The sequence below is a fragment of the Homo sapiens genome, chromosome 11 (genome assembly GCF_000001405.40).
Source record: "Homo sapiens chromosome 11, GRCh38.p14 Primary Assembly".
In the NCBI taxonomy this organism is placed as follows: domain Eukaryota; kingdom Metazoa; phylum Chordata; class Mammalia; order Primates; family Hominidae; genus Homo; species Homo sapiens.
The window spans coordinates 36,432,008-36,454,092 of NC_000011.10; the positions used below are offsets into that span (position 1 = coordinate 36,432,008).

At 45.7% G+C, this 22,085-nt stretch overlaps 1 protein-coding gene across 4 annotated transcripts in view, besides 1 other annotated feature; it reads left to right on the forward strand.

Annotated features, from left to right (window-relative positions):
• PRR5L (proline rich 5 like) overlaps positions 1-22,085 on the forward strand; it is a 168,917-nt gene that overhangs the window by 135,720 nt on the left and 11,112 nt on the right. For 2 of the 4 annotated variants that reach the window (NM_001160167.2, NM_024841.5), the window contains 3 exons: positions 5,378-5,469; positions 14,293-14,433; positions 19,202-19,328. In NM_001160167.2, coding sequence (NP_001153639.1) covers positions 5,378-5,469; positions 14,293-14,433; positions 19,202-19,328 — 360 coding nt within the window. The remainder of the gene's footprint in view (positions 1-5,377; positions 5,470-14,292; positions 14,434-19,201; positions 19,329-22,085) is intronic. The other 2 variants (NM_001160168.2, NM_001160169.1) reach the window with 2 other exon arrangements.
• Positions 9,676-9,765: an enhancer, noted in NCBI's record as "active region_4632". NCBI's record gives its function as "activates an Ori minimal core promoter by ATAC-STARR-seq in GM12878 lymphoblastoid cells {active_cell/tissue: GM12878}" and the evidence as "EXISTENCE:reporter gene assay evidence [ECO:0000049][PMID:35858748]".

Genomic DNA, 22,085 nt, shown 5'->3' on the forward strand with positions numbered 1-22,085 from the left:
AGCGAGTGATTCACCCTGTCCGTTTCCTCCCTACCTAGGCAGCAGCACTTTGATTTGAGTCAGCTGCTCACAGCAGTGCAAGTCAGAACTGTGTTTCAGAAAAATGTAGTGGGACGGGGTGGTTTCTTTGGAGACCTTGTTCAGGGTTTTTTTTTGTTTTGTTTTTGTTTTTGTTTTTGTTTTTGTTTTTAATGGGATGCAGGCTGGTGGTCACCTTTGAAGGTATAAGTTATACTGTGAATCCTCCATGCTATTTCCTCTGGTCTGTCCCGAGCTATTTCCTACAGGCCTTTGTAATATTTCTGGGGAGTCATAGAAGAGAGGAGTCCTGTCCATTTGCAGGACATTAGGCTAAGCAGGCACTCACTCAATAGGGTATGATTTGATAGATAAAGGGAAATTTCCTGATCTTAGAGTTTAAAGTCCAACTGACAGGAAAGAAAGGAACTGAATGGAGATAGAAACAGGTTCCAAAGGCAAGAATTAGCCAACCCCATGACTCTACCAAGGGCTACTCTTAGCTCCCACCAAAGTGGGGCTTGATCTTAGCTTGCCACCTCCTTCTTGGGTGACTTTTGGTTAGTTACTAGTTTCTCCAAGTCTCAGCTTTTATCATTTTTGAAGTGATAAATTGGGGTGAGGGGTTGTAGGGAATATAAGGCACATGAGTGGCATAACACCATACCTGGCACACAGGCGAACATACCGGACCCTTTCTTTTTTTTCTGCTCCAGCCTAATGAACCGTAGATCAAACTTACTTCCAGATCCAGACTTATTAGGTGTCATGTCATCATCCTTTTGTTTCTTCCCATTCCCTGGGAAAGACACGAGTGTGTCCAGGAAAGGGGCTCCTAGAAAGACAAAGTAGGAAGGAAAATGAGAAACTGACGCTGGAAAGTTCCAAGGTCTGGCAAACAGTTAATGCTTACCAAGCCTTGGGAAGAATAGAGGTTAGAAATTAACCTTTGCACATTTGAGAGTTGGCTGAACCTGTAGCCATTCTTCCCTTGAATACATCGATGACATTTTTTTTTCAACCTTATAAATACCCAATAACCCAAGACCTTTAGAAAAAAAAATTTAAATTGTGGTTAAACAAAACCCCACACAATATAAAATATACCCTCTTTATAATTTCAGTACTTTACAGTTCAGTAGTGTTAATTATATTTACATTGTTGTGTAACAGATCTCTAGAACTTTATCTTGCAAAACAGAAACTCCACGTCCATTGAACAACTCCCAACATTGCCCCCTTTCCTCAGCCCCCGACAGCCACCATCTTATTTTTTGTTTCCATGCTTTGACTAATCTAGGCGTCTTATAAGTGGAATCATATGGTGTTTGTCCTTTTGAGACTGGCTTAGTTTTATTCAGCATAAGGTCCTCAAATTCATGTTGTAGCATGTGACAGGATTCCCTTCTTATTTTAAGGCTAATATTCCATTTTATGTGTATGCTACATTAGCTTTATCCTCTCATGTGTCAAAGGAAGGGGCTTATTCTTAGGTGACTTGCTTTGACCAAGAATTTAGTGGCTCTTTTGCTTCTTTTTTTGAGACAGAGTCTCACTTCTGTGGCCCAGGCTGGAGTACAGTGGCATGATTTCGTCTCACTGCAACCTCCACCTCCCAGGTTCAAGTGATTCTCATGCCTCAGCCTCTTGAATAGCTGGGATTACAGGCACGTGCCACCACGCCCAGCTAATTTTTGTATATTTAGTAGGCGTTTCACCATGTTGGCCAGGCTGGTCTCGACTCCTGACCTCAAATGATCCACCGCCTTGGCCTCCCAAAGTGCTGGGATTACAGGCATGAGCCACTGTGCCCAGCCCTCTTTTGCATTTTGGAGTCAGGCTAGTACAAAAATGTGGAAGACAACTGCGTGGTAAAGGGAGGGAAAGGAAACATTATCCCTGGCCATATTAATTGTATGTATGTTATCTGGGGAGTTATTACAAGCTCCTGGAAATGTGGAAAAACAGCTCTATGAAAAAGAAACTGAATAAAACCAGAGGTTCAAGTGCCCTTAAAAGGGGAAGTTGAATGTCTCTCACCCAAGTAACCCTCATCATAGATACACTCAGAGTGAAAACTCAGAAATGGGGCTAGACAGGATGAACAAAGTTCATCCAAGATTCTGTCCCCCTGCCCTGGCATGGCCTGAGAGCACCAGGCCTGGCATATTCTCTGAGTCTCTTCTAGTCTTAGAGTTCTGGGTGTTGGGGCCTGTTCTGTACAGTGAATAGGCATGTGGGGAACCTTTAAGGGACTCTGCCATCTTCAACCAGGCATCTCTACTTTTTAATTTTATGTATTAGAACTCCAAGAAAAATTGTGTTTGGATAAAACTTGCTATAAAACAAAGTTTGAAAACAATTAATATGATCCGTCCAGTCACTGAACAAACTCCTCTTTGTCGACATCTCCGCTTAGGTACTTACATGTCTATATATACACACCCCTTCTTTACTGATGCAGAAAAGACAGGTGGCTGTTCATATCCACTTATTGCTGTTTTGTGGGCAGAAGATGCCATGTTAACTTCAACTTTTCCAGAGCCTTAGTGACCTTGAGTCTTAGGAAGTTTCTTATACTTACCTATATACTTCTGGTGACCTAAACTGCTGCGTTACATTAGAGGGCAGATTTATAGGACGGTCACCTAGAACCATCCATCCAACCCCCTTCATTTTTGCAGGGAGCTAAGTCCTTGACTTATGGGCTGTTTCTGGAAGGGAAGGCACCTGTGTTCTTTAACTCTTTCTCCCCCAGGGCTACCCTGTTGCTGGGTCTGTGTCTGTCAGATGTTCTTCTCTGAACGCTTTCCAAAACCTCCCTTACTCTCTGAAGTTTGCAGCCAGCAATTAGACCTGGGTTCTCGGGAGGCGTCTTACTGCTGCTGGGTTGCAGAATTACCTTGTGTGCCAATGAGCATCCTGTCTTGGCATTGAAAGGGGGAGTAAGTAGGCACCAGTGCTGACCTGCAAGGTTCTCTCTTCTTCCCCTCCTTCAGGTCAAGAGGGCCTCTGCTTGTCTTGGTTGTAGAAGGCTTAAGATAAGGGACATCAACAAAGAAGCTGGAGTAACCTTTTGCCCTTTGGGGTAAATTATCCAGGTGCTGGAGTTCACCTTGGTTCTAGGAACCAGGGTGACTCAGATTGTGAGAGGGTCCTTTTAGACTTCCCCCTCCTCCTCCCTGCAGTGAAACAGCATAGCCTATATTTGAAAGAGGATGGTGACTGCTTCAATCAAATGTTTATTTGATTATCTACTATGAGCCAGTACTTTGCTAGGTGCTGGGGAGTCAGGAATCAGAAAAACCATCACAGCATTACAGGCCCTCATGGAGCTCACACATGAATCAAATCATCACCAAGTATAAAACTGTACCTAGGACAAGTACTAAGAATACAATCTGCAGCGGGGTGGTTTGACCAATGGGGAGAGACTTTCCCCTAGAAGTGATGTTCAAGCTGCAACTAGAAAGATAAACAGAAGTAGGTTAGGTAAAGAAGGGAGAGAAAGAGCAGTCAAGGCAGAAGGGCTAGCATATGCAAAGGCCCTGTGGCATGACAGAGAATGGTGACTGAAAGAGGGATGATTAGAGCCCAAAGGCTGACAGGAATACAAAAGAGAGGATCAAGACCCAGGAGGAGGAGGCAGATTCTCCTGGGCTGTGTAGATCATATTACTGATGTTTTCTTTATCCTAGGAGCAAAGGAAAATGTTCATGCTAACTATTAAGTCCTGTTCTACACTGTCCCATATTTGGGTTAAATGGTAACCTCCTTCCACTCACCAGCCCCAGTATCTGCAAAAATCTATACACTTGGCACTTTCCATCCATTCACGCAAAGATTTTAAAAGATTGATTTATTGAAGTGGCTGCACCATGCTAAGCACTATGATGAGCAAGACAGATGGGGCTCCATTCCCAATCCCGTTCCAGTGACGAGACAGAGAAGAAGTGAATAAGCTGTTCCGATAAAGTGTGATCAGTGGTTTGCACAGGCAAGTTGAGGGTGCCCTGGATTTGCATTTTCCCCCTGTGAATTTCACCCTGACCTTTCAAAATCTGCACATCTTTGGACCTCCTGGCTACTAGTCATGCCCTTGTTCTATTCTCTCTCCCCAGCCACTGCTTTTATTGCCCATTAAATTAATAGACGGGAGGCGCCAAATGAATCTTTCAAGATTTATTCAGTGGAACTGGCAGTGTCTTGCCAAACGCGTCTCTCAGTGTCTAATCTTGGCTGACCCAGTTTCTCTGCCTGGGATGAGCAGAGGCAGTGACCAATATCAGCTCTGATATCTAGGTCATTAAACAGCAAATGCTGTGCAGGCTCCTCTTTGCCAGGGCCCGTCTTTCCTGGAGGTGCAGAGTTCCTCACACAGCCTTCTGATGGCACTGGGTGACCTGTGTGCTCTCCAGCCTGGGGTAGCAGGGACACTTGGCCATAGCTTAGGCTTCCTGATCCTCAAAGTGAGTAGGGACAGCATCAGGAGGCAGGTGCTGTGTTTTGCAGATGGCCTTTTCAGAGAATGCTGCCTTCCCAGTTACTGTAAAGTGGGTGGAGGAAACAGTTTCCAAGTTCTGTTTCTGCCTCTCTCCATTGACAGCTGAAACCCAGAATAAAGCCAATATCTTAATGAGTAAGAAAACAAAACAGTATATAGCTGTGCACATGATCTTCCTGGATAAGATTGGCCAAGAGCATGGGTTCTGGAATCACAGCTCTGCCTTCGAGCTGTGTGACTTTGGGGCAGTTAGTTGGCCTCTCTGAGCCTGTAAAGCGGGGGTATTAGAGTCTAGTCATGAGATATCTTATAGGTAAGTAAACTAGCATAGTGCTGGATAATGTTGTAACAATTCATGTAATAACAATTACTATGTGATTTTAAGATGTCAGCTCCCTTTTCTGGATTGGAGGATGGAAAGGCATATTTGCATATTTTCAGTTGAGTTCTCCCACCCAGTCCTACATTTACTATAGTAAAACCTTGTAGATCAAATGTAAGTAATGAGCTCTCTTTCCTCCCCACACCTAATGCTGCGCCTCCCATTCAGAGTCTTACTAGTGAAGACTAGTAAGTTTAGATTACTTATTAGTAAGACCAGAGAGTTAGGATCAATACGTGCACCCTTGTGAGATGGAATATATTTCTGCCCTGAGAATCTCTGTTGGTCTTAGCCTGGAATTAAGATCCTGTAGCACCACACCTCTGCTCTCTGGGCTTTAATAGCTCCTGGCTGCAAGTTTTTTAGCATGTGCAGCTTGACATTTTATGTGGAACTGTCTTCTGGCCTCTCCTACAAGTAATGACGAATTCTTTTCTTTCTTCCTCCCTTCCCATCTTCTCGCCCTCTTGTAGGTGAAAATCGCATTGAGGTTCTGGCTGAAGTCTGGGACCACTTCTTCACTGAGACTCTCCCTACCCTGCAGGCAATATTTTATCCAGTTCAGGTTAGTCTCATTGGGGAACACTTCCTGCCATCCTCAGCGATCTGTCTTCTCTCCTGGCCCTTGCGGCCTGAGGGCTCCTGGTAAATGGGAGAAAACTTGGAGATTGGGCGCTTGTATTGGTTAAGGAGTTTAGAGATTGTTTAAGGGCTCTCTGGTTCTATATTTAGGGCCTAACTTCAAGTGAAGAAGAGTGCCTGCATAACTAGCAATTTGTAGGCTCTTGTTACCCTCTTGGTTTTGAGTATGTCTTTATATTCTTGGAGTGGTTTGTTTTTCTTAGTTTTCAGAAGTACAGAAGATGGGGGAAGGGAGATTTCTTGTTTCTTTTCTTTCTTTCTCCCCTGCCTCTATCTTTCTTCTCTCCCCCTACTTTTTTTTGTGAAGCATAATTTTAAAGCAAGTTTGCCGTCACATTCAAATTATGAAAAAGGAGTAACATTCCGTGTTCCTCTGTAAGGGATCCTACGTGATTTAGTAGGAAGAATGCTCGACTAGGAATCTGTAGACTTAGATTCAAGAGTGTGGGCTTGGGCAGAGTCATTTATCTTCTGTGAGCATAGCTCCATTGTATCTCCTACAAAATAAGGAATTTAGAATAAAATGTGAATGACACCTCTAGTATTCTTATTCTGTGGCCTCTACTCCTACCATTTGTGTTGATACCCTTGCCCCCTTGTCTCTGTAGAGCTAATACCACGATGGTCACTGCCAGGTTGAAGCCACCGCTAAGGGAGGTTGACCCATAGATGTTCCTCTCCAAAATACATGTCTCTCTCACTTAAGCTGCAGTGTACTCCCTCTTCTCTCCTCCCACTGGGGTTGAGGCTTCGTATGTAATTAGGTATTGTTGAAGTGTGGGCGTCGTATGCAGAGGAACACAGCCATTAAGCAATGGGTAGAATGACCTTATACCACATAGATTGTTTGGTCTGAACAGTGTTTTAAAGGAATTTTGGATTGCTGAAAACATTTGTCAAATATTTAAAACCTGGGAGGTTATGCTTATAGATTCCATTTTCCATGTTAGACCCACCCCATAACATTTCCAGTAAGATAGTACAGATAGAAGCTTCTGTCCTGTAGCCTGCAGAAACCTTCCCCTTCCTTACAGTAGTCACTCATCAGCCATCAGTAAGTCTTGTCTCAGGAAGATAGGCATGGGGATAAGGTTGCCAGATGAAGCAAATAAAAATACAGGATGTTGGCCGGGCACAGCACTTTGGGAGGCTGAGGTGGGTGGATCACTTGAGCCCAGGAGTTTGAGACCAGGCTGGGCAACATGATGACAACCCATCTCTATTAAAAAAAACTAGCCAGGCATGGTGGCTTGTGTCTGTAGTCTCAGGTACTAGGGAAGCTGAAGTAGGAGGATCACTTGAGCCCAGACGATTGAAGCTGTAGTGAGCTGAGATTGCACCACTGCACTACAACCTGGGTGACAGAGCAAAACCCTGTCTCGAAATAAATAAATACTACGGGATGTTGAGTTATATTTGAATTGCATATATAAGCAAATAATGCAATATTTGGGACATATTTATACTGAAAAACTCTTCAAATTTAACTGGGCATCCCGTGTTTTATCTGGTAGCCCTACTAGAAGGGGTGTGCAGGAAAGACCTGCATTTGTAGGTGGACAAAGGGGCATGTTGAATCAGTACCTGGCGCCTCCTGCGTTTAAAGGCAAACTGAACCAGACCCAGGACAGCAACATGGTACCACCATTTCGAGGGGCCCTGGGTCTCTCTTCAGGCCATTTGTGTAGGGAATTCCAGGGTGCAGGTGTCCAGATGGTTCTAGAATGGAGAGTGCAGGATCTGGGTGGACATAGCCCCAGTATAGTCAAGAGGGCAAAGGTTGGGGAGGGGGGTTTTAAAAGCTCAGAGCCAGGCAGGAGCCCAGACATGTGGGTCTAAGGATAGCTCTGTTTCAGTTCTCTTGGAAGATGGTAAGATCTGGCAACAATTAATATTGCCCCTGTTCACCTCCTCACTCCCCAATGACTGACTTGAATTCTGCTTCTCTTCTCGAGTTTGCCATGGCCCCCACCTTGCTGGCTTCCCTTTTCCTGTCAACTCCTGAGGCCATTCGCATGTGCTAACCCTGCTTTATTCAATTAGCTGAATTGGGTTTGGGTGAGATGGGCATGTCCATATTCAGATTGTGGACAGGGAATATTCCGGGGAGGTGGCGAAGATCTGCAGCAAATGGTCATCAGAGGTATATAGCATACCCTGAAAAAGGCAAACTGTGCCTTCCTCCTCCTTTTTGTTCTCAGCTGATCCAGGTTCACATATTTATAGTTTTATAGGACTGTATCTCTTAGGCTTTACTTTTTCTTTGTGCTTAGCCTAGAGAAACTGGATGGCATTTGGGTAACAGGGATATGCACTGTTATTTTTTTTGGAGTACGTAGGTTGTGAGGAGACAGGCTTGGTTTTGTTATGCTTTCCCCATCAAGCCTAAAACAAGAACAGAAAAGTGAATTCTGGATTAGTAGGAATTCCTTCTCTGATTCATTGTGGGCCTAAGAGATGGCTAAGTCCTGGTAACAAGCCAGTGCTCTGGTTAATGGCCCCAAATGACCCTCTAAGAAAGCAATGATTAACTTGTTTATGTGGCAGGTTGGTATAAACCGGGTACCCCATACCCTCCCTTAAAAGTATTTTCTGCTTGCATCAAAGGCCAGATTCTGCATATAGAAAAGGCCTTTATGGGTTGGGAACCAGCGAGGAGTTCTGAAGATAAAACCTCCCCCCCACCTATGCTGGGGAGGAATTTAGATATTGAGAGATTGGGATATTGGAGCCAGTTCTAACATAAATGGTTGTGGCATGTTGCTGTCCTTGGCCCGGTTAAACTCACCTTTAAACACAGGAGGTACTAGGTACTGATTCAGTATGCCCTGCTGGTCACTTATAAATCCAGGCCTTTTCTTCTGAGAGTGTAATGTTTAACCATGGGCTTAGAAGTCCCAAAGGCAAAATCCATCATGTTCTCCAGGTGAGTGCTATAACTACCCATGCCCAGTCTAGACCCAAATGACTACAGGTATTTCATATGAAGAAATGATGGCAACAGAATAATCTGGGGAAGAAATGAGGGAGGGGGAGCAGCGCCAAAGAGGAACAAAGTGGTTCAAAGCATGAGCTGCAGAGTTAGCTCATGACTGACTGTGTTAGTCTGTTTGTGTTGCTATAAAGGAATACCCGAGACTGGGTAATTTATAGAGAAAAGAGGCTTGTTTGGCTCATGGTTCTGTAGGCTGAACAAGAAGTGTAGTTGCCAGCATCTGCCCCAGGTGAGGCCACAGCAAGCCTTCACTCATGGCAGAAGGCAACAGGGGAGCCAGTGTATCACATGGCAAGAGGAAGCAAGAGACAGGGAGGAGGTGGCAGACTTTTTGAAACAACTAGCTCTCTCATACTAATAGAGTGAGAACTAATAGAGTGAAAACTCACTAAAGAGTGAGAGCTCACTCATTACCAAGGGGAGGGCACCAAGCTGTTCATGAGGGATCTGTCCCTATGACTCTACCTTCTACTAGGCCCCACCTCCAACATTGGAGATCACATTTCAACACGACGTTTGGAGGGGACAAATATCTAAGCCATATTTTCTGCCCCTGGTACTCCAAATCTCATGTCCTTCTCACATCGCAAAATACAATCATTCCTGCCCAATAGTCCCCTAAAGTCTTAATTTATTCCAGCATCAACTCAATCAGAAGTTCAAAGTCTCATCTGAGACTCAAGGCAAGTTCCTTGCACCTACGAGCTTGTAAAATCAAGAATAAGTTATTTACTTATAAGATACAATGGTGGCACAGGCATTGGGTACACATTCCCATTCCAAAAGGGAGAATTTGGCCAAAAGAAAGGGACAGCAGGCCCCACTTGAGTCTGAAACACAGCAGAGCAGACATTAAATCTTAAAGCTCCAAAATAGTCTTTGACCCCATGTTCCACATCCAGGACATACTGATGCAAAGGATGGGCTCCCAAGGCCCTGGGCAGCTCTGCCCCTGTGGCTTTGAAGGGTTCCAGCCCCTGGGTCTGCTCTCACAGATTGGAGTTGAGTGCCTGTGGTTTTTCCAGGCTCAGGGTGCAAGCCGGTGGCTCTACCCTTCTTGGGTCTAGAGGGCAAGAACCCCCTTCCCACGGCTCCACTAGGAAGTGTCAGGGGCTCCAACCCCACATATCCCCTTGGCACTGCCCTGGTAGAGTCTCTTTGTGGGGGCTCCACCCCTGTGGTAGGCTTCTGCTTGGGCACCCAGGCTTTTCTATACATCTTCTGAAATCTAGGTGGAAGCTGCAAAGCCTCCTTCTCTTGTACTCTGTGCACCTGTAGACTTAGCACTATGTGGAAGCCACCAAGGCTTATAGCTTGCTCCCTCCAGAGTAACAGCTGGAATGGTACCTGGGGCACTTTGAGCCACTGCTGGAGCCAGAGAAACTGGGATGTGGGCAGCAGTGTCCTGAGGTAGCACTAGGCATCCCCTGAGCGTGGCCTCCAAAACCATTATTTCCTTTAGGCTTCTGGGCCTGTAATGGGAGGGACTGTCCCAGAGGTTTCTGAAATGACTTCAATGCCTTTTTTAAACTCTGGTCTTGGCTATCAGCACCTGTTTCCCTTTTAGTCATGCAAATCTCTCTAGGAAGTGATTGTTCCACAGCTCTCTTATATTTCTCTCCTGCAAATGCCTTTTCCTTCTTCACTGCATGGCCAGGCTGCAAATTTTCCAAATTTTTATGCTCTGTTTTCCTTTTAATTATAAGTTCCAACTTTAAGTCATTCCTTTACACCTATTCCTGATCTTAGGCTGTTCGAAGCAGCCATGCCACATCTTGAATGCTTTGTTTCTTATAATTTTTTTTTTTTTCGAGACAGAGTCTCACTCTGTCACCCAGGCTAGAGTGCAGTGGCACAATCTCAGCTCACTACAACCTCCACCTCCTGGGTTCAAGCTATTCTCCTGCCTCAGCCTCCCAAGTAGCTGGGATTACAGGCGCCTGCCACCATGCCAGTCTAATTTTTGTATTTTTAGTAGAGATGGGGTTTCACCATATTGGCTAGGCTGGTCTCAAACTCCTGACCTTGTGATCCACCCGCCTTGGCCTTCCAAAGTGCTGGGATTACAAGTGTGAGCTACTGTGCCCGCCCTAGAAATTTATTTTACCAGATACTCTAAGTCATCACTCTTAAGTTCAACCTCCCACAAATCCCCCGGGCATGGACACAATACAGACAAATTATTTGCTAAGGCATAAAAAGGGTGATTTTTATTCCAGTTCCCAATAACTGCCTCATTTCCACTTGAGACCACCTCAGCCTGGCCTTTGCTGTCCCTATTTCTATCAGTATTTTAGTTATTACCATTTAACTAGTCTCAAAGAAGGTCCAAACCTTCCCTTGTCTTTTTGTCATCTTTTGAGCCCTGAGCCCTCCAAACTCTTCCAACCTCTGCTCATTACCCAGTTCCAGAGCTGCTTCCACACCTTCAGGTATCTTCATAGCAACATTCTACTCCTTAGCACCAATTTTCTGTATTAGTTCATTTTGCATTGTTACAACGGAATACCTGAGACTGGGTAATTTATTTATTTAAAAAAACAAGGTTTATTATTTGGCTTACAGTCCTGCAGGCTGTATATGAAACACAGTACCAGCATCTGCTCCTGGTGAGGCTTCAGGAAGCTTATAACCGTGGCAGAAAGGTGATGGGGAGCCGGTGTATCACATGATGAGAGAAGGAAGCAAGAGATGGGGGAAGAGGCACCAGGCTCTTTTAAACAACTAGCTCTCATGTGAATTAATTGAGAACTCACTTATCACCAAGGGGAGGGCACCTAAGCCATTCATGAGGGATCCGCTCTCATGACCCAAACACCTCCTGCTAGGCCCCACCTATAACACTGGAGAAAACATTTCAACATGAGATTTGGAGGGGACAAATATCCAAACCATGTCACTGACCTGGGTTCACATTGTCAGTCTGCCACTTATCATCTTGATATTCTTGGGAAGATAACTTTGCTTCTCTGAGCCTTGGTTTTCTTCTAGAAAATAATAAAACTTGCTTCACAGGAGTGTTAAGAAGAGTAAGTGAGATAATACTTGAAAAGCACTTAATTTTGCATATGACACACAGTAAGGGCTTAAGAATTGTCGCCATCATCATCAATATCATTATTATTCTCTGCACAATAAAATGTGTTGGAATCACAGCAGATAATCCAGTTATTTGGATGAGTTTTTCCCACGTCATGGGCTGAGCAGATGAGTTGACAATGGGTGACTGTTGAGTGTCTACCATATACTGGCACTGTTATGGAAGTGTGGGCACAGCTCCTGAGAGTTGCCTAAGTGGGGTTATGACCTGTATTTTCCTAGTCATCCTACTTAGGAAATCATCCCCCCAGTTGGTGTAAGACAGTAGGCTCTCTTATACACTGTTGCTGGGAGTACAAATGGATGCAATCTTTTTGGAGAGCAACATGGCAGTATTTTTTTACGACTTTTTAAAGGCATATTTGGATTGAGTAATTTTCCTTTGCAGGAGAATAATCTGGATATGCTGATAAAATATGCCCAACGTGGCATGGATAAATATGTTTGAAACACACACACACACGTGTGCAAATGAAAGCATCTTGGTCAGGAGATGGTTGGTTACACACAGTGTGTTCACACAGTGGTAGAATATTACGCAGCCTTACAAGTGAGGGAGGTCAATATGTGCTGGTATGAAAAGATGTCCAAAATATACAAAGTGAAACAAAAGCAAGCTGCAGAACAGTAGGAGGGGTATAATCTCTGTGTGGGTTTAAAGGTTTTATATGTGATTTTGTGGATATAGGAACTTTCTGGAGAAATTCAGAATATAAATAAAAACCTCAAGGAGCAGTTACCAGTGTGGAGTGAGAATAAGAGATTAGACGAAGAGGACTTGTAACTTTACCTTAAGCCCTTTTTCTGATCTGTTTTAATCTTTGCCTTTAAATGTTTTATAATATAAATACAAAACCAAAAACAATAAGGCAAAATAATCGTCTATTTGGAGTGCAGTTCAGGGGAATGAAGAGTCCTTCGGGATGCCTTGATGACCTTCTAGGGAATTCCTAAATAATCAGTTCTGGAAAGTGATTTGGCAGTTGTTGGAGCAGGAGGTCCTAGAATTGTTTCCTTTTGCTTTGCAGTCTTTCCTTCCCACCAGAATTGCTGTTCTAGTTTCTAGAAGGTTGCCTGCCCCAGTCTTCCTTTTTCTCTCTTCCCACATTCTATAGTTTAAATCAGACAGTTCTATTGTTCACTTCCCTGGAAGGTTGTGAACAAAAAGTTGTTTATGTCCCCTCTGCTTCCAGCATCACAAAGGACCAAGAGCCAGGACCTGGCCAGAATAATGCTGCCTAATGCTGGCTCTCTCCTGTTGCCTCAGCATCTCTGTCCATCAATCCATCCAACAGAGGTAGTACCAACTGGCCAACTTTTAAAAGATATTGAAGGAATAAAACCCAGTCAAAGTCTCTCATTATAAGATAACTTATTTAAAGCACCCAACATAATGTGAGCTCTATTTATAATTTTTTATGGTATTGAAATGTATGGGTGGTGATTGTGTGTATCTGTTGGATGTGGGGGGTCAGGGGATATGGAGATAGCAAAACCACTCTTGACCATGTTTCTATAAAACTCTATGGAGTTGCAGGAAATATAAAACATCCTTAAACCTTGGTCAGCTTGGGAGGGTACCCTAATGATGTCTTTGGTTCTACCAGGAACAACCGGCTTTTAGTGTGCATTTGTATGTATGTGTGCAAAGGAGAGTCTGAAAAATTCACCCTCTTTTCTCTTTTGTTCTTGAAAAACTTGAGCTCTAAAATCAAGAAGTTTGGGTTTGAAACCCTGCTCTACTTTGGGTGTATTATAGTAAGTCTCTGGGTTTTCAGGTGTTTCATCTGTGAAATGGGTTTGGCTCTACCAAGAACAACTGATTTTTAGTGCATGTTGTATGTATTGTGTAAAGGAGACTGAAAAGTGCACCTTCCTTTCTCTTTTGGTCTTGGGAAACTTGAGCAGCTCTAAAATCAAGAAGTTTGGGTTTGAAACGCAGCTGTACTTTGGTTGAATTAGAGTAACTCTCTGGGTTTTTGGGTGTTTCATCTGTGAAATGGGTTTTATAATGGTACCTATCTCAAAGGGTGGTTGTGGGGATTACACAGGTTGACATCTAAACTATGTAGAATCATGCCTAGCACATAGAATTTAATACATGTTAGCTTATTTATAGTTATTATTTTCACCTTCTGCTCCCTACCCCATCCCCACAATTGAACAAATCCCTTTTCTCCTACTTTCCTATTTATTTTTCTTCCTAAATTACAGTATTTATACAACAATCTAAGAGGTCCTGTGTTTTCCTTCTTTATTTGTATGATAGATGTTCAGATATATTATAGATGAAGTTGAGAAAACGGCCTTGAATGTAGGGAGGTAGTATTGATCTTCTCTTTGTTTCTCCCATCTTTCTCTTTCTCTCCTTCGTGACCACTCATAGCACTTATAATAGTGTGGCCCTGATTATATGTGCCTTGTATTGTCTTTCGGTCATTTAGGTAGGCAGGTTGAGTCATGCCTTATCTTAACAGCATTTTAATTCTAGAGGAGCCAGGTCTTTGGCTCTTTGAAAGACACACTGGCCCTTGCAGACGCCTCATCCCATCTTTGGTGCTATATAAACATGTGTTGTCTTGAACCCCACATGGTCGGTGGCAGATTCAGTAAGCTCTCACCTCCCGGCCCTCTCTCCTCTGTCCCCTCTAGGGCCAGGAGCTGACTATCCGCCAGATCTCCCTGCTGGGCTTCCGAGACCTAGTCTTGCTGAAGGTGAAGCTGGGTGACCTGCTGCTGCTGGCCCAGTCCAAGCTGCCCTCGTCCATTGTCCAGATGTTGCTCATCCTGCAGGTGAGGCTGTGCTGGAGACTTGCCCCAAGGCAGAGGGAGGGAGCGAGGGAAGAGATTGCCTTTCTGAGATGAGGGGGAAGGAACCTAGTGACCAGAGCACCTTAGCTTGGCTTACTACTATTTAGTTTGTTGGCCCGTGTTCATTCATTCATTCATTTGTTCATTTGAGGTGCATTCACTGAGCACCTGTTAGGTCCTGGTGCTGTGCTTGGTGCCAGGACCACACTGGGGAGTGAGGGAAGCATAGTCTTTCATTCAGGAAGTAGATGCCCTTTTCCCCTCTCCAGTGATGCCAGGGAGCCACAAGTTGCAAGTCACAGCAAAGAATACACTTTGGCCTAGCTTAAGCAGATGAGGAACTCCCTGAAAAGCTCCTAGGGCAGATGGACTTCAGGAGGGATTACAACCAGGAATGAGGCTGTCTCAGGCCATGAAGCCACCATCCTTTCTCTACTTTCTAGTCTCTACTTGTATCTGGGCTACTTTGTCTGTCTTCATCTTATCCTATCTTTCCTGGACTTGGTCTTTTTCTCCCTGCAGGCTTATGTTCTGTGTTTGGTTTGTACCTGATCGAATGTGACACCTCACAGCTGATGTGCTTCCAGTAAGAGACTGCCCAGTGGCTGCCTAGTGTCACTCAATCCCAATTCTAAATCAATACTAGGAATTTGAGCTAACACATATTGGTCCTTGGCTATGTGCCGGGCACAGGCCAAGGACGTTAAGTGTGTTGTTTCCTTAATCAGATAATCCAGACAATCACTGTATGAAGTAGGCATTGTTATTCCCATTTTAGAGGTGAGGAAAATGAAACCTAGTAAGTTTGTGTGCTTGCCTGAGGTCCCTCAGTTAGGAAGAGGCAGTAAGATTTGGAATTATGCACACTGTGCTTCCTCCCCAGAGGAAATAATTTAATTGGTCCAGCTTGGGCTAGATGATTCCTCTTTGCCCAATCAGCCATGACCCTTGAATAAGATCAAGCAGTATAAACATGGCCTTGGCAAACTCATTCCTATGGGTGGGGGCACACAATTCTCGACGAGTAGGGTTTTTGGCTAGGGACACCCCCAAGAGGTGACTACTATGCCTCTTCACCTCTGTAACAAGTTCAGATGCTGCAGCATTAGCTCTGAGCCCTTCCTCAGGGAAGATGGCTTCATCCTTGATCAGGCTAGTGATGACCCCTTGCTGCCCTCACAGCAGTGATGGAATGTCAGGCATTGGGGCCCCAATCCTTCCCCCACATCCCCCAGCTGGTGCTCTCTTTCAGTCCTTGAAGCTGGGCCATCCTTCTGGGCATTCTCCCCCTTTCCTGTAATTAGAGAGGAGGAAGAGTTGCCTAATAGGATGAGGGTGGGTGTAATTGGCCGGAATGCCAGGTCAAGTATTTTTATGGAAGAGATGGAGAAGGAGGGGGATAGAAAAATGCATGTGGGGCTCGGGTCTGAGAAGCCTTAATTAGAGCATGCTTCCTGAATAAGGAGTCTTGAAAATGAGCCCTTTGGGATTCTGATAGGAAAATTCGGAAAGTTGGGCTCCCATCTTCCCATATCAGTTTATAATAGTTTAGGGCTGAGAAGCGATTCCTTTGTGTTTTGGGCGGTGGCGGTTTGTTTGGTTTTGTGGGAAGGAGAATTGATCCAGTCCTGCAGGTGAAGACTCTCACCTGTTGCTGCTGGAACAGGAGGGCCTGTGTCTATCACATTCCAACATTCCGGGCCCTGTGCCAGGTAGCCCTGCAGCCATATGAGAAAGCTGTCATCATACCCCTGAGTCCCCAAAGACAGGTGAGACTGCTTGCCCAGGAGAATCTACCCTCATGCGCTCTGGTCCCCACCCCCATTTGCTCTCCATGGGACGGCCTCAAACTCTTCAGTGGTTTCCAATCGATCTTAGAAAAACAGCCCAAGTCTGTACCCTGGCCTTCAGCATCTCCCACCCTTCCATCCCTGCCTGGAACCTGACTTACTCACTTTTCTGGTCTTCTTGGCTTCTCCTGGCTGCCGTGGGATCTTTGTGATCACCATTCCTCCTGCTCAGAACACTTTGTCTTCTGGGGTCCTCAAGCCCCTGTCTAATCAAGGCAGGTCAATGTTTTCTCCTTGCCCTTGTGCCCTCAGCACCCAGCATAGTCTTTGGCACATAATAGGTATTAATTAAACACTGTCCAGGGAATATAGCACCAGCTAGTAGAAGGTTGAGCAGGACTGATGCTGGGTCCCTGACCTCACACCCATGTTGGTGACCGTCATGTAGGGCTTCTTCTCTTGGCAGAGGGAAGTACAGTCAAAGAAGCTCTGGGATCATGGCGAATTTCCAGAAAGTCAGGCAAGGAAATGGTTCCTCCTGTGTCTATACCATTATTTTTCCCATCTCACAGCTGAGATGGAGGTTCAGAGAAGGTGGCGACTTTTCTCAAGGTCTTGTACTCATTTATTAAGAGAGCTGGATTGCTCCCCATCCCTTAGCCCTTATCTTCCTACCTCCACTTAGCCTTTCTAGGCAACTACTGCCTCCCTTCTGCAGTCTCCCAGGGTACTTGGAAACGCCCCACAGGCATCCTACAGACCATTAAAGATCGTCCCTCTCTCCTGCAGGGCATCTGGCATCACTTCCCCTGAGGGCTTCCTGGGAATGTTGCCTTTGGCCCATGTTCTTCCTTGCCAGGAGCTCTAGAGCCTGGGGCTGGGGATGTGACTGTGAAGAACCCGGATCTTTCCCCGGCCCAAGTCCATCTTGAGCAGCAAGGGCGATGGCCTCTGGATCTGAATGGAACTTCCAGGTGGCACTGCCCTGGGGCCATATCTGCTACAGGAAATTTGGGCCTCCGTACTTAGAATTGTCCATTCTCTCCCTAGACATGCACTTTCCACAGTGCCATGAGACCTGGGGCTGATATTTTTCAAAACTACCTGACCCTACTACAGAGAAAAGAGCTCTTTCTTAGGCCTTCAGCTCCGTCTTTTCTGTCGCTCTTCCACAATGTCCCTGACCCAACTCCACCCTTCCCAAGTTGTACAAATACTCCTACAGTGGGCCATGTGCTCTGCCTTCAAACTGCCCCAGTGAGAGGCAGAATCGGAGATATTGACCACTGTGAAGATCTGTTTCCTCCCAGCTGATGCAGACAGGTCCTGAGACCACCGGAATGGTGCATTCTCAGGGGCCCCAGCCAGGCAGGGTGTGCAGCCTGTACTCAGAGGACCCTGAGCTTGGTTTTATTTTCTCCCATCAGCATTTGACACTCTTAATGATTTTTGAACACGAGGCCCTGCATTTTCATTTTACGCTGGACCACACAAATTCCATAGCTGTTTGGCAGCCAAGCCAAGGGCTGAGGACAGCACCTTCCTAGAGGGCTGTGCACAAGCCAAGTTCTCAGCAGCAACTTTTCTGAGAGAAAACCATCTAGCTCCAAATCACGTGTTCATTATCCATTTTCTTCCCACCTTTTGCCACTTCTCCTTTTTCTGTGGTCCCTCCCTGTTTAGCAGGTATGGAAGGTTTGGGGGAGAAGCCACTCATTTTCTCTGCATCTCTTCTGGCCCTGTTTCTACCTCCAAATCTGCACCATAGCCCCATCCTCAGCTTCCTTGTATTTCCTGAAGCTGTGTCCTCTCTCCCCCAGCCCCTGGCCGCACCCATCTCAGTGTAATGGTACCATAAAGGGGCCAAGGAAGAGCCTGTTTCCTTGGCAGCTTACATCTCCCCCTGGGATTGCCAACATGCAGGAGTCAGCCCTTCCTGCCTCATTACCTGAACAGCTTCCCCTTCAATCCCTGAAACACTGCACTGGAGTGGAGTCTACTTTGAAAGTGAAAGTGATTTAGAGTCTACTCCATTTCGAGAATTTGCATGTTAACCCCTTGGGCTGGGCACAGCCCCATGGAGATTTGTTTCTTTCCTGGCCAGTCCCCTCTCCTGCCAGGTGGTCTTTGCTTCTTTGCAGCCCCTCAACATGACAGCATGTTTGAGTCCTTTCCAGCAAGAAGCTGAACTCCCCAGGAGTCTGCCAGTTTTCTAGAAAACATTGGTTACTGGCTCCTTTCTGGTTTTGACCATTCTTTACTCAGGGCTTAGCTCTGAGGACTCCTGTCATGCCGGGGTTTTTAATTGGCTCTTCATCTTGGCGCTAAAACTATTCCTGGCTCAAAAAGAATTATCCCTTTCTCTTATAGCCCTGAACTTTTCCATATTCTTTCCTCTCTTCTTTTCTAGCCTGTTAGCAAGTGGCAGAAGAGGGGATCAGAGCCAGATAGCCTGGGTTCCAGTTCAGGGTTTTTGCCATTTACTGGCTGTGTTTTTCTGCTCAAGGTATTTAAGCTCTCTGGGTCTTTAGTTCTTCATCCACAGAAGGGGGATAATAAGAGCACCTTCCTCTTTGCATTGTCAGGAGACCTCCGTGCATTAATATATGTTAAATGTCTCTGTGCTGTTTATGAACCAGTCACGATGACAGTATGGGTAGGATTATTGTCTTTGAGACCAGCCAGATCTCAGCCTTGGAGGTGGGACACCCACACTGCATTGGTGGCCCAGTGGGAGAGGCTGCTGTGGTACTAACCATGCACAGTTCTAATTGCAGTGACCCATGACAAGTGACTAAGGCTTCAGGCCTCAGTTTCCTTCATCCTAACTGCAAGGATGCTGCCTGCCAGCAACACAGCCTTGTACATTGGAGGAGGACAATCAGGATTTGTTGAGTGAGAACCTGCTGGTCATGGCAATGAACACTGACCTTTGTGTATCTTGGCTGTTCATTTTCCAGAGTGTTCACGAGCCCACAGGCCCAAGTGAGAGTTATTTGCAACTGGAGGAGCTGGTGAAGCAAGTGGTTTCTCCTTTCCTCGGCATCAGCGGGGACCGTAGCTTCTCAGGCCCCACGTACACGCTGGGTAAGGAGTGCAGCTCTCAAGTTGTCAAGAGGCCCAGTGATCATGATACCAGCACTGTTTAACTGAGCACTGTTTAACTGAGCACTGATACCAGCACTGTTTAACTGAGCACAGCCTTTTGCTTCCTGTGCGGGTCAGTGCAAATCCGTGCATCTTAAGCACTCACATTCCTGGCCTCTGGAGGTTGCAGTAACCTTCTCCCCCTTGATGATTCCTCCCCAAGGACCGATACTGTGCCTTTGCGGTGGTGCTTGTCTGATCCACATCTTTGATCAGTGGCTTTGATCATTTTGGTGCGCCTAGGACATTAATCTTTCTGTATCTGACACCAGAAACTGTGCTTTGTTACACCCTCCCTCTGGTTGAGTAGAGAAACCTCCTGAGATAGATTTCCCTTTGAAACCAACTGGAAATGTCAGGCCAACTTGTATGCATGGCCAGATGTTATCGAGTTGCTGTCTCCCACTCCATTTCTGTAGGTACCACCACATGGCAAGGAAAGGGGCTCTTGCATTTGGGGACAAATCCTGTTGGGGCCTTTTTTTGATGGCTGTAAACCTAGCATCAGTGAGTGTCAGGCTCTGTACCAGGCACCATGGAAAATCTGGAGATGAATCAGATCTGTTCCTTCTCTCAGTGACACTGCAGTCTAGATGGGTTCAGTACAAATATCTCTATAATACAAAATAGCTCTCAGACCAGTCTTTGTAGAAATAGCTGTATGATAAGGCTTCCAATAATTATAATAATAAAAAACCCAGTTATTGTCTGAAATATAAACGCTCAAAATGCAGAAATGTTTTATTCATTGTTCTGTCCCCAGGAATGGTGCCTGGCGTATAGTAGGCACTCAAAAAATGTTAGATGATGGCAGCAACGGTACTTCAGGGCCAGGGGAGCCAGCACCCATGGAGAGATGCAGAGGCAGAAATGGATTACTCAAATTGGGAACCTGATGCCCCCTCTTCTCACTTTAATGGAGTTGTAATAGTTGAGCTTCAAAGAAAGGAGCGTCCTCCAGTGAGGTTCCTGCCCCTTCCTGGGCCTCTCTACCACAGCAAGAGCCAGGGCCAGCTGGCAGTTTTCACCACCCTGCTCATGTTTTTCTGGAGACACCAGCTTAACCACAGCCACCACAGATCGGAGGGTGCTGGCCCCAGCCTGCTGCCTGCTGGTTCTTCTCCTTCCTCCCTCCCTTCCTCACTCATTCCTCCCAGGAGCTGGAATGGGCCAGAGTTTCAATGACACTGAAGGAAAACAGTCTTCTGCAGCCCCACTCTGAGCTGGGGTGCCATGTTGCTGCGGTCTCCCTGGAGTCCACCTTCCTGCTGGCTCAGCTCACTGAATTTTGGGGGACTGGGGCATCCAGGGAGCTGTCAGGACGTCAGCAGGTTAGCTGGGCCATGGCAGGAACGCTACCATTGTTTGGGCCTAATGCCAGTGTAGAGGAAGAAAAACAGTTTTTCTTCCAACTCTCCTAAGCTCTTAGTTGGAACAGAACCCTGTAACACATTAACAGGAGAAAAACAAACAGCAGCTTATTAAAACTGTATGTTTCATACATACATGGGTCACACCCAGGGAGTCAGTAGTTCTTAAATACATGGCTTTGAATTCCAGCTTATATAGCATCTTCAACAACAAAAAATAAATTTCTAGAGAAGTGATAAGGCAAAGAAAAACAACTTTGAGTCTTCAGGGGTGGCAGCTTGTGGCAAGGGAAATAGATGGCAGATAAGGGCTGGTTAGTGAGGCTTGTTCATGTAGGTTTCTCTGTTGGCATTGCTGGCTGATAAGGGTCTAAAATTGTCTTCAGTGGTTAACCTTTGCTCTCCCTGGTAGAAGTGGGATGGGATACCGTTTGTCTTTATACATCTATATCCTGCCTTTAAGCAAATAGAGGGAGGACAGAGAGCTTCCTGTATCTGCTTCTTAACTGCCTTCAGTTCATAAATCCTTATGCCCAAGAGGCATATTTTGTGGTGGCATATTTTGGTGTCCTATCCCAGGAACAAGAGTCAATTGGGAAGTTTGTTCAGTGAGGACTCACTCTAAGAGGGGATAGCTTTAGCTTTCTAGCTAAAATAAGAATAATGCACACTTTTGCCAAATTATAAAGCAAAGACTCAAGGTTTTATTCTTGTACCTAGGACAGTCCCTGCCTCTAGAGAGTTGTCGCACTAGGGGCGGGGAGGGAAGGATGTGACCCTCTTTTGGTTAATTTTAAATTATCATTTCAGCAAATGTGTACTAAGACCCTGTCCTGGCACACTGGGAGGTGCTATAGCTATATCTGTAAATGAAGCCAACCCATCCCTGCCCTCCAGAGCACACAGCCCAGGGAAGAAGTCACAAACAAGGCAGTGTCTCATCAGTGTACACATGTTCTGAGGGGGAAAGTACAGGGGCCACGGGTCCCAGGGCACAGGGATTTCATCTTGACTAGGGAATCAGGGAAGACTACCTGGAGGAAGTAATGATGTCTGTGATGGGACCTGCAGGATGAATATAAGTTAGCTGAGTAAACAGAGAGGGATGACTATCCCCAGGCCAAGGGGAGGAGCTTGGGAGGGTTTGGAGGACAGGAGGTGAGCAAGAGGAAGGAGCGTTAGAGGAACTGAAAGGGCTTCAGAGTTGCAAGGAAGCTGATGGCAAGGGGAGCTACTGGACACAGACCTCGTCCTGGGTATGGTGCTGGGGGTGCTGGATGCTGGACCATGGAGCAGACACTGCTGTTCCCAGGTTTACAGGGGAAGC